The sequence below is a fragment of the Homo sapiens genome, chromosome 16, assembly GCF_000001405.40.
Source record: "Homo sapiens chromosome 16, GRCh38.p14 Primary Assembly".
Taxonomy (NCBI): domain Eukaryota; kingdom Metazoa; phylum Chordata; class Mammalia; order Primates; family Hominidae; genus Homo; species Homo sapiens.
The window spans coordinates 32395422-32410818 of NC_000016.10; the positions used below are offsets into that span (position 1 = coordinate 32395422).

Here is a 15397-nt window from a genome sequence, read left to right on the forward strand (position 1 = left end):
GGATGAGTCTTTAGGGTTTTCTCATTATATGATCATATCATCAGGAACAGCAACAGTTTGACTTCCTCTTTACTGATTTAGATGCCCTTTATTTCTTTCTCTTGTCTGATTGCTCTGGCTAGGACTTCCAGTACTATGTTGAATAGAAGTGGTGAAAGTGGGCATCCTTGTCTTTTTCCAGTTCTCAGGGGAATGCTTTCAACTTTTCCCCGTTCAGTATAATGTTGGCTGTGGGTTTTTCTTTCTTTCTCTTTCTGTATTTTTTTTTTGAGATGGAGTCTTGCTCTGTTGCCCAGGCTAGAGTGCAATGGCCCAATCTCAGCTCACTGCAACCTCTGCCTCCCAGGTTCAAGCAATTCTCATGCCTCAGCCTTCCAAAGACCTGGGAGTAGCTCCCCAAACTCGCCAGCATCTATTACTTTTTGACTTTTTAATAATAGCCATTCTGCCTCCTGTGAGGTTGTATCTCATTGCACTTTTGTTTTGCATTTCTCCAATGATTAGTGATGTTGAATATTTTTTCGTATACTTGTTGACTACGTGTTTGTCTTCTTTTGAGAAGTGTCTTGTCCTGTCCTTTGCGCATTTAATGAGGTTGTTAGATTTTTGCTTGTTGATTTTTCTAAGTTCTTTTTGGATTCTGGATATCAGACTTTTGTCGAATGCATGGTTTGCAAATATTTTCTTCCATTCCATAGGTTGTTTGTTGATGATATCTTTTGCTGTGCAGAAGCCCTTTAGTTTAATTAGGTCCCATTTGTCAATTTTTGTTTTTGTTGCAATTGCTTTTGGCATCTTTGTCATAAAGTGTTTTCCAGAATTGAAATTTCCTAGGATATGTCCAGAATGGCCTGTATCCAGAATGGTATTTCTTAGGCTATCTTCCAGGGTTTTTATAGTTTTGGGTTTTACACTTAAGTCTTTAATCTACCTTGAGTTGATTTTTGTAAACAGTGAAACGTATGGAGTCCAGTTTCAATTTTCTGCATACGGCTAGCCAGTTATCCCACCACAATTTCCAAGTAGGGATTCCCTTCCCCATTGCTTGTTTTTGTCAAGTTTGTTGAAGAGTAGATGGCTATAGGTGTGTGGCTTTATTTCTGCGTTCTGTAACTTGTTCCACTGGTCTATGTCTGTTTTTGAGTTCCTTATAGATTCTGGATATTAGTACTTTGCTGGGTGCATAGTTTGTAAAGATTTTCTCCCACTCTATAGGTTGTCTTTTTACTCTGCTGATTATTTATTTTGCTGAGCATAACCATGCTGTTTTGCTTACTGTAGCATTGTAGTACAGTTCGAAGTCAGGTAGTGTGACGCTTTTGACTTTGTTCTTTTTGCTTAGGATTGCTTTGGCTATTTGGGCTTTTTTTTTTTTTTGGCTCCAAATGAATTTTAGAATGCTTTTTTTTTAATCCTGTGAAAAATGTCATTGGTGTTATGATAGGAATAGCATTGACTCTGTAAATAGCCTTAGACAGTATGGCCATTTTAACAATATTGCTTCTTCCTATCTGTGATCATGGAATGTTTTCCTTTTGTTTCTGTTGTCTCTGATTCTTTGAGCACTCGTTTGTAATTTTCATTTTAGAGATTTTTCACCTCCCTGCTTAGCTGTATTCCAAGGTATTTTGTAGTTTTTTTTGTGGCTACTGTGAATGGGATTGCATTCTTGATTTGGCTGTCAGCTTGGATGTTGTTGCTGTATAGAAATGCTACAGATTTGTGTACATTAATTTTTGTATCCTGAAACTTTGCTGAAGTCATTTGTCAGATCTGGGAGCTCTCGAGAGGCTACTATGGGGTTTTCTTGGTATAAAAGTGTTTCACCCAAGAAGAGGCATAGTTTGACTTCCATTCTTCGTATTTAGATGTCTGTGTTTCTTTCTCTTGCCTAATTGCACTGGCTAGGACATCCAGCACTATGTTGAATAGGAGTAGTGAGAGTGGGCATCCTTGTCTTGTTCCAGTTCTCAAAGGGAATATTCCAGCTTTTTCCCATTCAGTATGAAGTTGGCTGTGGGTTTGTCATAAATGGCTTCAATTATTTTGAGGTATGCTCCTTCAGTAACTCATTTGTTGAGGGTTTATATCAAGAAGGGATGTTTTTATTTTTAGTTCTATTTTATGATGAATCACATTTATTGGTTTGTATATCTTGAACCAAACTTGCATCCCAGCAATAAAGCTTACTTGATCATAGTGGACTAGCTTTTTGATATGCTGCTGGATTCAGTTGGCTTGTATTTTGTTGAGGATTTTTGCATCTATGATTATCAGTGATAACTGTCCTGAAGTTTTCTTTTTTGCTGTGTCTCTGCCAGGTTTTCATATCTGAATGATGCTGACCTCATAAAATGAGTTAGGGAGGGATCCTTCCTCCTCATTTTTTCAGAATAATTTCAGTAGCATTGGTACCAGCTCTTCTTTACACTTCTGGTAGAATTTGTCTGTGAATCTGTTGGGTCCTGGGCTTGCTTTTTTTTTTTTTTTTTTTTTTTTTTTTGGCTCAGAGACTTTTTATTACTCATTCAGTTTCAGAACTCATTTTTGGTTTGTTCAGGATTTCAATTTCTTCCTAGTTCAATCTTGGGAGGTTGTATGTTTCCAGAAATTTACCCATTTCTTGTAGGTGTTCTACTTTGTTTGCATAAACATGTTCATCTTAGTCTCTGAGAGTTTTTTGTATTTCTGTGTGGTTGGCGGTAATGTCCACTTTACCATTTCTGATTGTGTTTTTTGTATCTTCTCTTTTTTTTTCCTTATTGGTCTAGCTAGTGACCTATCAAATTTATTTATTCTTTCGAAGAACCAGCTTTTAGTTTCATTTATCTTTTGTATGGCTTTTCATGACTCAATTTCATTCCATTCTGCTCTGATTTTGGTTATTTATTTTCTTCTGCTAGCTTTGGGTTGGTTTCCTCTTGTTTTTCTGTTTCCTTTAGGTATGATATTAGGTTGTTAATTTAAGATCCTTCTAACTTTTCAATATGGGCATTTAGCACTATAAACTTTTCCCTTAACACTGCTTTGCCTGTGTCTTAGAGAGCCTAGAATATTGTATCTTTGTTTTAATTAGTTTCAAAAAATATATTGGTTTCTGCCTTAATTTCATTGTTTACCCAAAAGTCATTCAGGCACAGGTTGTTTAATTTCCATGTAATTTTATGGTTTTGAGAGTTCTTCTTAGTGTTGACTTCTATTTTTGCTACACTGAGCGGTCCAAGAGTGTGGTTGGCATGATTTCAGGGGCTTCTTTTAATTTATTGAAAATAATTTTAGACTGATAGTGTGATCAATTTTACAATATATGCCATGTACAGATGAGAAGAAGATATATTCTGTTGTTGTTGGGTGGAGTGTTCTGTAGATGGCTGTTAGGTCCATTTAGCCAAATGTTGACTTCAAGTCCTGAATATCTTTGTGCATTTTCTGTCTCTATGATCTGTCTAGTACCATCAGTGAGATGTTGAAGTCTCCCACTATTATTCTGTGGTTATCTAAGTCTCTCTATAGGTCTCTATGAACTTGTTTTACAAATGTGAATGCTCCAGTTTTGAGCACATTTATCTTTCAGACAGTTAAGTCTTCTTGTTGAATTGAACCCTTTATCATTACATAGTGCCCTTCTTTGTCTTTTTGATTGTTGTTGGTTTAAAGTCTATTTTGTCTGAATTAGAATAACAATGCTTACCCTTTTTTGTTTTGCATTTGCTTGGTAGATTTTTTTCCATCCTTTTACTTCAAGCCAATGGGTATTGTTGCATATGAGCTGGGTCTCTTGACAACAGATACAGTTGGGCTTTGCTTCTTTATCCAACTTGCCATTCTGTGAGTTTTAAGCAGGGCATTTATACTGTTTACATTCACAGTTAATATTGGTATTTATAGCTTTGGTCCTGCCATTATGTTGTTAGCTGGTTATTATGGAGACTTGATTGTGTAGTTACTTTACAACGTCAATGGTCTATGTACTTAAATGTATTTTTGTGGTGGCCATTAGCAGTCTTTCACTTCCACGCTTAGCACTCCCTTAAGGACCTCTTGTAAGGCATGTCTGGTGGTAACAGATTCCGTTAGCATTTGTTTGTCTGAAAAGGATCTTACTTCTCCTTCACATATGAAGTTTAGTTTGGCTGGATATTAAGTTCTTGGTTGAATTTTTTTTTTTTTTTTTTTTTTTTGCAACAGAGTCTTGCTCTGTCCCCAGGCTGGAGTGCAGTGGTGCTATCTTGGCTCACTGCAACCTCCACCTCCTGGGTTAAGTGATTCTCTTGCCTCAGCCTCCCGAGTAGCTGGGACTACAGACATGCACCACCATGCCCAGGTAATTTTTGTATTTTTATTAGAGATGAGGTTTCACCATGTTGGCCAGGATGGTCTTGATCTCTTGACCTTGTGTTCTGCCCCCCTCAGCCTCCCAAAGTGCTGGGATTACAGGCATGAGCCACCATACCCGGCCAAGTATTTTTTTTTTTTTAAGAATGCTGAAGGCTGGGCGTGGTGGCTCACACCTGTAATCTCAGCACTTTGAGAGGCTGAGGTGGGCAGATCACGAGGTCAGGAATTTGAGACCACCCTGGCCAATATGGTGAAATACTGTCTCTACTAAAATTACAAAAAATTGCCAGGTGTTGTGGTGTGCACCTGTAGTCCCAGCTACTTGGGAGGCTGAGGGAGAAGAATTGCTTGAACCCGGGAAGTGGAGGTTGCAGTGAGCTGAGATAGCACCAGTGCACTCCAGCCTGGGCAACAGAGTGAGACTCCGTCTCAAAAAAAAAAAAAGAATGTTGAATATAGGCTCCCAATTTCTTTTGGATTGTAGAGTATCTTATAGTTCCACTGTTAGTCTGATGGGATTCCCTTTGTATGTGACCTGCCCCTTCACTTTAGCTGCCTTTCATATTTTTTTATTTCATGTTGACCTTGGGGAATCTGATGACTCTCTGTCTTGGGGATGGTCATCTTGTATAGTATCTCACAGGATTCTCTGCATTTCCTGGATTTAAATGGTGACTTCTCTAGCAAGATTTGGGAAATTTTTGTGGGCAGTATCCTCAAATATGTTTTCCAACTTGCTTGTTCTTTCTCCCTTTCTTTGAGTGATGCCTTGAGTCATATGTTTGGTCTCTTTACATAATCTCAGATTTCTCAGAGGTTTTGTTCATTCTTTTTTGTTGTTTATTGCCATATGACTGAGTTGATTCAAAGAAGTGGTCTTTGAGATCTGGGATTCTTTCCTCAGCTTGGTCCGTTCTACTGTTAGTACTTGTTATTGTATTATGAAATTCTTGAGGTGCATTTTTCAGCTCTATCAGTTTAGTTTGGTTCTTTCTTAAAATGCCTATTTCATCTTTCAGCTCTTATGTCATCTTATTGGATTCCTTAGATTATTTGGATTGGATTTTGACTTTCTTCTGAATCTCAATGATCTTTGTTTCTATCCAGATTCTGAAATCTATGTCTGTCATTTAGTCCTGGTTAACAACCATTGTTGGAGAGTTAGTATGATTGCTTGAAGACAGGAAGACATTCTGGCTTTTTACATTGCCAGAGTTCTTGCACTGGTTCTTTCACATCTGTGTGGGCTAAGGTTCCTTTAATGTTTTGACTCACTGTCCTTTGGATGGAATTTTTTCCTTTTTTATATTCTTTAATGCCCTTGAGGGTTTGACTGTGGCACAAGGTAGTTTCAGTCAAATGGCTTCATTTCTGGAAGATTTCAGGGGGCAAAGGCTCAGCTCAGCACTCCTGAACTGCATGCTCTAACTTTGCAAGGCTGGTACCATACCCACAGATTTGTTGTCTGGCCCTTCAATGTTAAGCACTAAGGTGTTCCCAGTCCACTGGCAACAACACTCTGATGGGGTGTGCCAGCCAAAGTGCTTCACTGTAGTGATTGTAGCAAGGTCCCCACTCACACATATGTGCCAGCAGCAGCAGCACACAGCAGGTATGCATGTGTTGGCAGGGGTGCAGTGCCGACAGGAGTGGGATGGGGGTGTTCTGCATACTTGCACATGCCAGCCGGGGCAATGGTGCTGTGGGGTGCACTCATGTGCCGCTGGAGCCAGAGTGGCAGCATCTTCATGAGTTTTATGTTATCATTCCAGAGCTTTAAAAATAATGTTCTGGACTTCTAACAAATGTATTTGTGAACCCAGAGAAAAAGAGTATTATTTTGTGCATTTTTACGTAATCATACCCAAGAAAATTTTACTTTACAATTTGTTCTTTTCACTCAACAGTAGTCTCGAGGTTTATCCATCTCAAGATGGATACACATGTAGTTGATTCCTTTTAATTGTATAAGATTACATTGTATGTCAACAGCAGATTTTATTTACAATGTTATAACAAAAATGGCATTTTATTTGTCTCATTTTACATAAATATAAGTTTGTCTAGAATAGTTACCTGGGTTACATACATTTTTAGTTTGATGTATACAGCCAAAATCCTTTCGGTATGGCCACTTTAATTTGCCCTAATACCAGTAGCTTATGAGCATACCTGTTGTTCCTGAAAATCCTTGCAAATCCTTGATATTATTACATTTTATAATGTTTTCCAGTCTGATAATTGAAAAAATGGCATATTTTTGTTATTTTAATTTGCATTTCTGTGATTATTCACAAGCTTGAATATCTTTTATATATGTGTTGTCCTTCAGCTTTTCCTTATCTGTAACTAGCCTGTTCATATCTTTGTCCATTTTTTTGTTGAGTTGGTCTTCTGTATTAATTATATCTGTTATATGCATTTGTAAATTATATGTACTGCAAATATCAGTAGATATTTAATTTTGTTTGTGATGATTTTTTTCACTCTAAGAAGTGTATTTTGTTATTTTCAACAGACAGAATTGCGAATACACAACACCGTTCACTTGACTTTGAAAATGAAAAAGAGAAAAAGGGGGAGAAAGAGCAGAATTGCTTTTGAAGTAGTACTTTATTATAGTAGTTTTGAAGTTGCTTTTGAAGTACTACTTTAATATAATTGAATGTATCAAAATCTCTTTTTATGTCTAATGCCTTTGTATGTATCATTCAAAAGGTCCTTTTTACCTCATGATCACAAATATATTATTCTACATCTTTTTGTTGTTGTTGTTCAGAGTCTTGCTGTCACCCAGGCTGTAGTGCAGTGGCATGATCTCAGCTCACTGCAACCTCCACCTCCCAGGTTCAAGTGATTCTCCTGCCTCAACCTCCCAAGTGGCTGGGACTACAGGCATGCACCACTGCACCCAGCTATTGGTTTTGCCATGTTGGCCAGGCTGGTCTCAGATTCCTGATCTGTCCGCCTCAGCCTCCCAAAGTGCTGGGATTACAGGTGTGAGCCGTCACGCCTAGCCCACTACATTTTCTTATTACTACTTTTCCTTTTGAGCTTTTAACAGTTATTATGTGTAAGGATCTATCTATATTCCTTTCCACATAAATAGTTATCTCAACACCATTTGTGAAAGATTTCTTTCTTTCTCCCACTGATTTAAAATACCAATTTATGATGTAACAAATCCCATAGATTTGTTTCCACACTTTGTATTCTCTTTTCTTCCAATTTATTTTGTCTATTTATATGTCACTATTATTCAGTTTTAACTATTTCACCTTTACAAAAACAGTATCTGGTTTTCTTAAGTTTACTTGATCTTTCGTTCTAAGGTCTTATTCTTCCAAATGAATTTTATAATCAGCTTGTCAAGCTCAGTAACAATCCCTGCAAAGATTTTGATTGGTGTATCTCTGATTAATTCATTTGGGGGAGAGATTACATCTTTATATTATTGAGGCTTTGGCTGGGCATGGTGGCTCACACCTATAATCCCAGCACTTTGGGAGGCCAAGGCAGGCATATCACCTGAGGTCAGGAGTTCAAGACCAGCCTGGCCAAAATGGCGAAACACTGTATCTACTAAAAACACAAAAACTAGCCAGGCGTGGTGTTGGGCAATGGTAAAATTGGGGCTTTTTAGTTCACACTTGTGAAATGTCTCTCTAAGTATTCAGGTATTATCTTAATTATTATATTATTATATTCACAATTTTTATAAAAGTATAGACTGTCTTCACAGTTTTGTTCTTAGATACTTTATGTTTTTAATTGATGTTGTGGATTAAATTCTCTTTGATCACTTATTCCTGGGGAAGCCAGCTGCCATGTCCTGAGGCAGCCCTGTGGAGAAAACCCCATTGGAAAAAACTGAAGCCTGCAATGGCTACATGAGTAAACTTGGAAGCAGATCTTCTCCACCCCACCCTACCTCATGGGAAAACTTAAGTCAAGGCATACAGCTAAGCCATGCCCAGATTCCTGACCCACAGAAGCATAAGACAATAAATATTTGTTGTTTTAAGCTGCTATGTTTGGGGATGACTTGTTAAGCAAAATGAGAAAAATAATACAACAGGTGATTACAATGTGCAGCAGAGTTCAGGAACCACTGAACTAGACCAGTATGTGGTCTTAGAGAAGTCTAGTCTCTTCTTGAGCCCACAGGGAAATCTGTAGCATAAACTGTGCCATAGAGTTGTACAGCCGGAAGCAAATCTCACATCAGTCCGTCATTGGCAGATGCTGCCTGGAGGGAAAGTAGAGGGGTGCACAACCTCTCTAGTATTCCCAGGTAGGTGCTTGTCAGCAGGACAAGGGTTCTAGAAACCTGCAGATAATAGCAGCCAACAAGAAGCACTGGGAGATGTGTTCATTGACCTGGTAAATGGATTCTGGCAGGAGCACCAAAAGCATTTTTACACAGGATATACTTCACACTTTATAAAGTAAATGTAGAAGAGATGAGGTGAAATTCTGGATAAGATATGCCAATAGAAGGTATTCTGAGCAGGAGCCTCCCCATTCCTCATGGGTGTCATCAACCACTCCAGAAATGTTCTCATTTGCCTTTGTAACTTAGGTGGCCACACTTGTTTTTTTGGGCAGACAACTCTGTTCCTTCCTTCCTTACTTACTTATTTACTCAAGAGGTAGGAAATGTGTGGAAGGTAGATTTGTCTGACCATTCTTACAGTGCTACTCCAAATAATCAACTATTTGGTTTCCCCGGAGGTCTCTCCTGCTCCCAGCATCTGTCATTTCAGGGCTTGGACCACTTTTAGAAGCACATGTATCTTTTGAGGCAATCTTATTTACACACATTTTGGTTTATGGTTTCCTTTTTTCAATGCTAAATTGTCTGTCACTTATCTTTCTGGCATATACTTAGTTTCTTGTCCATTGATGATTCACCTTTTGCTTTCTAGTTAGGTTATGAATTTTTCTATGACTTTACATCTTCACTTCAAAGGATTTAGGAATGGAGGGAGAGGCTGCAACCTGTGCTCAGCCCAACATTTTAAACCACGTCTGTATAAAATTTTAGCCAGCACTAAACAATGCATGAAAAGTTTTATCACCATTAAATTGCATTCACTCAAATTTGAAATTCTTCTAAACAATGTTTGTTATACATTTATTATAAACTACTTGTACTTATAAAACACTACTTGATTAAAAAGATGCTTTTAAATTAATTTTCATTCTTTCTTTCAGTTTTGTTCTAGGTGCTGTCTCTCTTGCTGTTGTTGTCCTTTACACGATGGTGTTGCAAGAAAATGGATATGGTGCTGAGGAAGACATTCCAACCTTACTAATGGCTGCTAGCAGTATGGATGACATTCTGGTTATCACTGGATTCAATACATGCTTGAGCATAGTCTTCTCCTCGGGTAAACAAGAAAATATAACAACCACCAGATCATTCATGACCTTTTTTGTTAGTTCTTTAAACAGGGTTTCTGGCTTTGCTTCTTCATTTATTAACCAAGACTGTTCAATTTAACATCTTTTTAATCTCCATAGAAAGCTCATTCCAGACCAAGGAAGATATTTCAGTGGCTTAAGATACCACTACTTAACACACATGATCTCACTTTAATAATCATGTGACAATTAATTTGATAAACCATATTATTACTATTTATCTGCTTATGTTGCTTTTGAATTTTATCAGTTCTCACTAGAAAAAATTAAGCAGCAGTATTATTTGTACTACTAATATTTTAATAGGCATTTTTGAAATGTGCCTTTTTGGCCATCCTAATAAACAAATGGTTGCTCTATTATAAGACGACATAAACATACAGAGCTGGGACAACCATATGCCTTTTTAGTAGTGTTAGGACAAGATCCTGCACCAGTTCTGATTCCCAAGGTGATATCTGGTCTTGAATATCACTACAGAAATTGTGAAACTAAATATTTCCACATTAAGTAATGCTTTAATTATCTGCAATGTTTGAGTCTTCTGTATTATTGAAGCACTAAACTATTTTTAAGTTGAAAAGTAATATATATAGTTTTATAGTTTCTCTTAAAATAAGAAAATATAAATAAATAAGAAAAAGAGGAAAAGTTAAAAATCAAATCTGCAATAGTCACATCCAGAAGAAAAGAATCATTTCCTTCTGAACCTTTTGATATAAACCCACCCATATTCCCTTCCCTTCCCTTCTTCCCTTCATCCCTTCCCTTCCCTTCCCCTCTCCTCCCCCTTCCCTTCCCTTACCCCTCTTTCTCTGTCAAATATTCTTATAAAAATCAGTGAATATTGACCAATATGTTCTTTTATTTTTTTTTTTTTGAGGCGGAGTCTTGCTCTGTCACCCAGGTTGGAGTGCAGTGGCACAATCTCAGCTCACTGCATGCTCTGCCTCCCGGGTTCATGCCATTCTCCTGCCTCAACCTCCCAAGTAGTTGGGACTACAGGCGCCCACCACCACGCCCGGCTAATTTTTTGTGTGTTTTTAGTAGATCCAGGGCTTCACCGTGTTAGCCAGGATGGTCTTGATCTCCTGACCTCGTGATCCACCTGCCTCGGCCTCCCAAAGTGCTGGGATTACAGGTGTGAGCCATCACACCCAGCCTAATATGTTCTTATAACCTGAATTGTTTTACACTTAACTGTATATCACAAACATGTTTCTTTTCAGTAAATGTATTTGTATATCATTTTAAATAGTTGTTTAGCTTAATGAAAGAGTATTCAATGTGCTGCATCATGATTACTCATCCTGTTCAAAATTAAAGTTAACTCCAATATTTACTATTAAAATAATGCTTAGTTGTGCTGCTATAAAAATATTTTTTTAAATTAAAAAATTGGCCGGGCATGGTGGCTCACACCTATAATCCCAGCATTTTGGGAGGCCAAGAAGGGTGGATCACTTGAGGTCAGGAGTTCAAGACCAGCCTGGCCAACCAACATGGTGAAACCCCGTCTCCACTAAAAATACAAAACTTAGCCGGGCATGGTGGTGGGCATCTGTAATCCCAGCTACTCAGGAGGCTGAAGCAGAAGAATCACTTGAACCCAGGAGGCGGAGGCTGTAGTGAGCTATCCAGCCTGGGCAACAGAGTGAGACTCTGTCTCAAAAAGTTTTTTTTACTTAAAAAAATAATACTTAGTTGAACATATAGAGAAATATTTGTACCTAATCTTCATATTTTCTTAAGCTTAAAAGTGCAATTGTTGATCTAAAAGGTGTATATGTTTATGAGTGTTCTGAAACATATTGCCACAATATCATGTCCTACCAGGGTACATAAACTTGTCATTTCCTCTCACCTCTCTTCAAAACTTGGTATTACTAGCCTTTTTCATCTTTGCTAATTTGATAGGTGAAGGAGGGATCTCTGTAAATGAAGTACTTTGAATACTAGTGATGTTAAATATCCATGTTTATTAGTCATTGGCATTTTGTAAACTGCTTTTCTTGAAAGTTTTTTGCCTATTTCTTTTAGGTGGGTTCACCTTTTTTTCTTTTTGATTTGTCAAGATTCTGCATTAAATTGAGAATGAAAACCTTTGTTTTATATACTTTAGTTTTTTCAATTTGTAATTTGGCTTTTAATTTTCTCACTCTTTTTACCATTCAGAAGTTAAAGTTTTTTATTGTCATTTGTCAAAATCTTTTCCTTCATGATTGGTATCTGTCATTCTTTCAAAAAATATTGTTATCAGTCATGTTTCAAAAAAATATTTCCAGGCTGGGCCCAATGGCTCACGCCTATAATCCCAACACTTTGGGAGGCCAAAGCGGGTGGATCACTTGAGGACATGAGTTCAAGACCAGCCTGGCCAACATAGCAAAGCTCCATCTCCACTAAAAATACAAAAAGTTAGCTGGGTATGGTAGCACAGGCCTGTAATCCCAGCTACTCAGGGGGCTGAGGCACAAGAATCACTTGAACCCAAGAGGCAGAGGTTACAGTGAGCCAAGATCACACCATGGCACTCCAGCCTGGGTGACAGAGGGAGACTGTCTGAAAAAAATAAAAAAAAAAAAATCCTCTTCCTTTTGCTGGCTACTATGCCAAACACTGAGAATGAACAGTAGACAACAACATTAGCTTTTATTGAATACTTGCTTGGCTCTTGTTCTAAGTTCCATATATGTCACCACTCATTTACAGGTAAGGAAACTGAGAAAGATGTTAAGTAATTTACTCAAGGACAGAGATCCAATAAGTAGGGGAGCCAAGATGCAAATCTGACAGTCTCACTCCACACCCACACATTTAACTCTTCTCTTCTCCACTGCCTCCCAACACAACAGAGAGACAAGATCAAATGGTGCATGTTCTCAACGAGCTTGTATATTAAAGAAAAATTACAAATGGGATGAATATTACATTGTGAAGTTTAATATTAAGTAAGTGTCAACTTGATTGGATTGAAGGATCCAAATTATTGTTCCCGGTTGTGTCTGTGAGGGTGTTGCCAAAGGAGATTAACATTTATTTAGTGGACTGGGAAAGGCAGATCCACCCTCAATGTGGGTGGGCACCATAAAATCAGCTGCCAGCATGGCTCGAATAAAGCAGGCAGAAGAAGGTTAGGAGAAGCTGACTTGCTGAGCCTTCTGGCCCTCATCTTTCTCCCATGCTGGATGCTTCCTGCACTCAAATATCAGACTCCAGGTTCTTTGGCTTTTGGACTCTTGGACTTACTCCAGTTGTTTTCCAGGGGCTCTCAGGCCTTCATCCAGAGACTCAAAGCTGGCCTGTCGGTTTCCCTACTTTTGAGGTGTTGGGACTCGGACTAAGCCAATACTAGATTCCTTGCTCCTCAACTTGCAGACGGCCTGTTGTAGGACTTCACTTTGTGATGGTGTGATTCAATTCTCCTTAATAAACTCCCTTTCATATATATATATATATATATATATATATATATATATATATATATATATATATATATATATATATATATCTCCTACTAGTTCTATCCCTCTAGAGAACCATGACTAGTACAGATTTTGATACTGAGGTAATGGAGTATTGCTATAAGATACCTGAGAATGTGGAAGTGACTTTGGAACTGTGTAATGTGCAGAGTTTGGAACAGTTGAGAGGACTCAGAAGAAGACCAGAAGATGTGGGAAAGTTTGGAACTGCCTAGAGACTTGTTGAATGGCTTTGACCAAACTGCTGATAGTGACTTGGACAGTGAAGTCCAGGCTGAGGAGGTCAGAGATGGAGATGAACAACTTGTTGGGAACTGAAGTAAAGGTCACTCCTGCTATGCTTTAGCAAAGAGAATGGTGGCATTTTGCCCCTGCCCTACAGATTTATGGAACTTTGAAAATGAGAGAGATGACTGAGGACATCTGGTAGAAGAAATGTTTGTTGTTGTTGTTGTTGTTGTTATACCTTAAGTTCTAGGGTACATGTGCACAACGTGCAGGTTTGATACATAGGTACACATGTGCCATGTTGGTTTGCTGCACCCATCAACTCATCATTTACATTAAGTATTTCTCCTAATGCTCTCCCTCCCCCAGCCCTCCACCCCCCAACAGGCCCCAGTGTGTGATGTTCCCAGCCCTGTGTCTAAGTGATCTCATTGTTCAATTCCCATCTATGAGTGAGAACATGTGGTGTTTGGTTTTCTGTCCTTGTGATAGTTTTGCTGAGAATGATGGTTTCCAGCTTCATCTATCTCCCTGCAAAGGACATGAACTCATCCTTTTTTATGGCTGCATAGTATTCCATGGTGTATATGTGTCACATGTCTTAATCCAGTCCATCATTAATGGACATTTGGGTTGGTTCCAAGTCTTTGCTATTGTTAATAGTGCCACAATAAACATACATGTGCATATGTCTTTATAGTAGCATGATTTATAATCCTTTGGATATATATCCAGTAATGGGATTGCTGGGTCAAATGGTAATTCTAGTTCTAGATCCTCGAGGAATTGCCACAATGTCTTTCACAATGGTTGAACTAGTTTACACTCCCACCAACAGTGTAAAAGCATTCCTATTTCTCCATATCCTCTCCAGCATCTGTTGTTTCCTGACTTTTTAATGATTGACATTCTAACTGGGGTGGGATGGTATCTCATTGTGGTTTTGATTTGCATTTCTTTGATGACCAGTGATGATGAGCTTTTTTTCTTGTGTTTGTTAGCTGCATAGATGTCTTCTTTTGAGAATCGTCTATTCATATGTTTGCCCACTTTTTGATGGGGTTGTTTTTTTCTTGTAAATTTGTTTGAATTCTTTCTTTGTCAAATGGGTAGATTGCAATTTATCTCCCATTCTGTATGTTGCCTGGTTCATTCTGATGGCAGTTTCTTTTGCAGTACAGAAGCTCCTTAGTTTAATTAGATCCCATTTGTCAATTTTGGCTTTTGTTGCCATTGCTTTTGGTGTTTTAGTCATGAAGTCCTTGCTCATGCCTATGGCCTGAATGGTATTGCCTAGGTTTTCTTCTAGGGTTTTTATGGTTTTAGGTCTAACATTTAAGTCTTTTATCCATCTTGAATTAATTTTTGTATAAGATGTAAGGAAGGGATCCAGTTTCAGCTTTCTACATATGGCTAGCCAGTTTTCCCAGCATCATTTATTAAATAGGCAATCCTTTCCCCATTTCTTGTTTTTGTCAGGTTTGTCAAAGATCAGATGGCTGTAGATGTGTGGTCTTATTTCTGAGGCCTCTGTTCTGTTCCATTGGTCTATATATCTGTTTTGGCACCAGTACCATGCTGTTTTGGTTACTGTAGTCTTGTAGTATAGTTTGAAGTCAGGTAGTGTGATGCCTCCAGCTTTGTTCTTTTTGCTTAGGATTGTCTTGGCAATGCAGGCTCTTTTTTAGTTCCATATGAACTTTAAAGTAGTTTCTTTTTCCAATTCTGTGAAGAAAGTCATTAGAAGCTTGATGGGGATGGTATTGAATCTATAAATTACTTTGTGCAGTATGGTCTTTTTCATGATATTGATTCTTCCTATCCATGAGCGTGGAATATTCTTCCATTTGTTTGTGTCCTCTTTTAATTCATTGAGCAGTGGTTTGTAGTTCTCCTTGAAGAGGTCCTTCACAACCCTT

At 38.1% G+C, this 15397-nt stretch overlaps 1 pseudogene; it reads left to right on the forward strand.

The window, feature by feature from the left end:
• The window catches only part of SLC9B1P5 (solute carrier family 9 member B1 pseudogene 5), a 48235-nt pseudogene that overhangs the window by 7291 nt on the left and 25547 nt on the right, over nt 1-15397 (forward strand).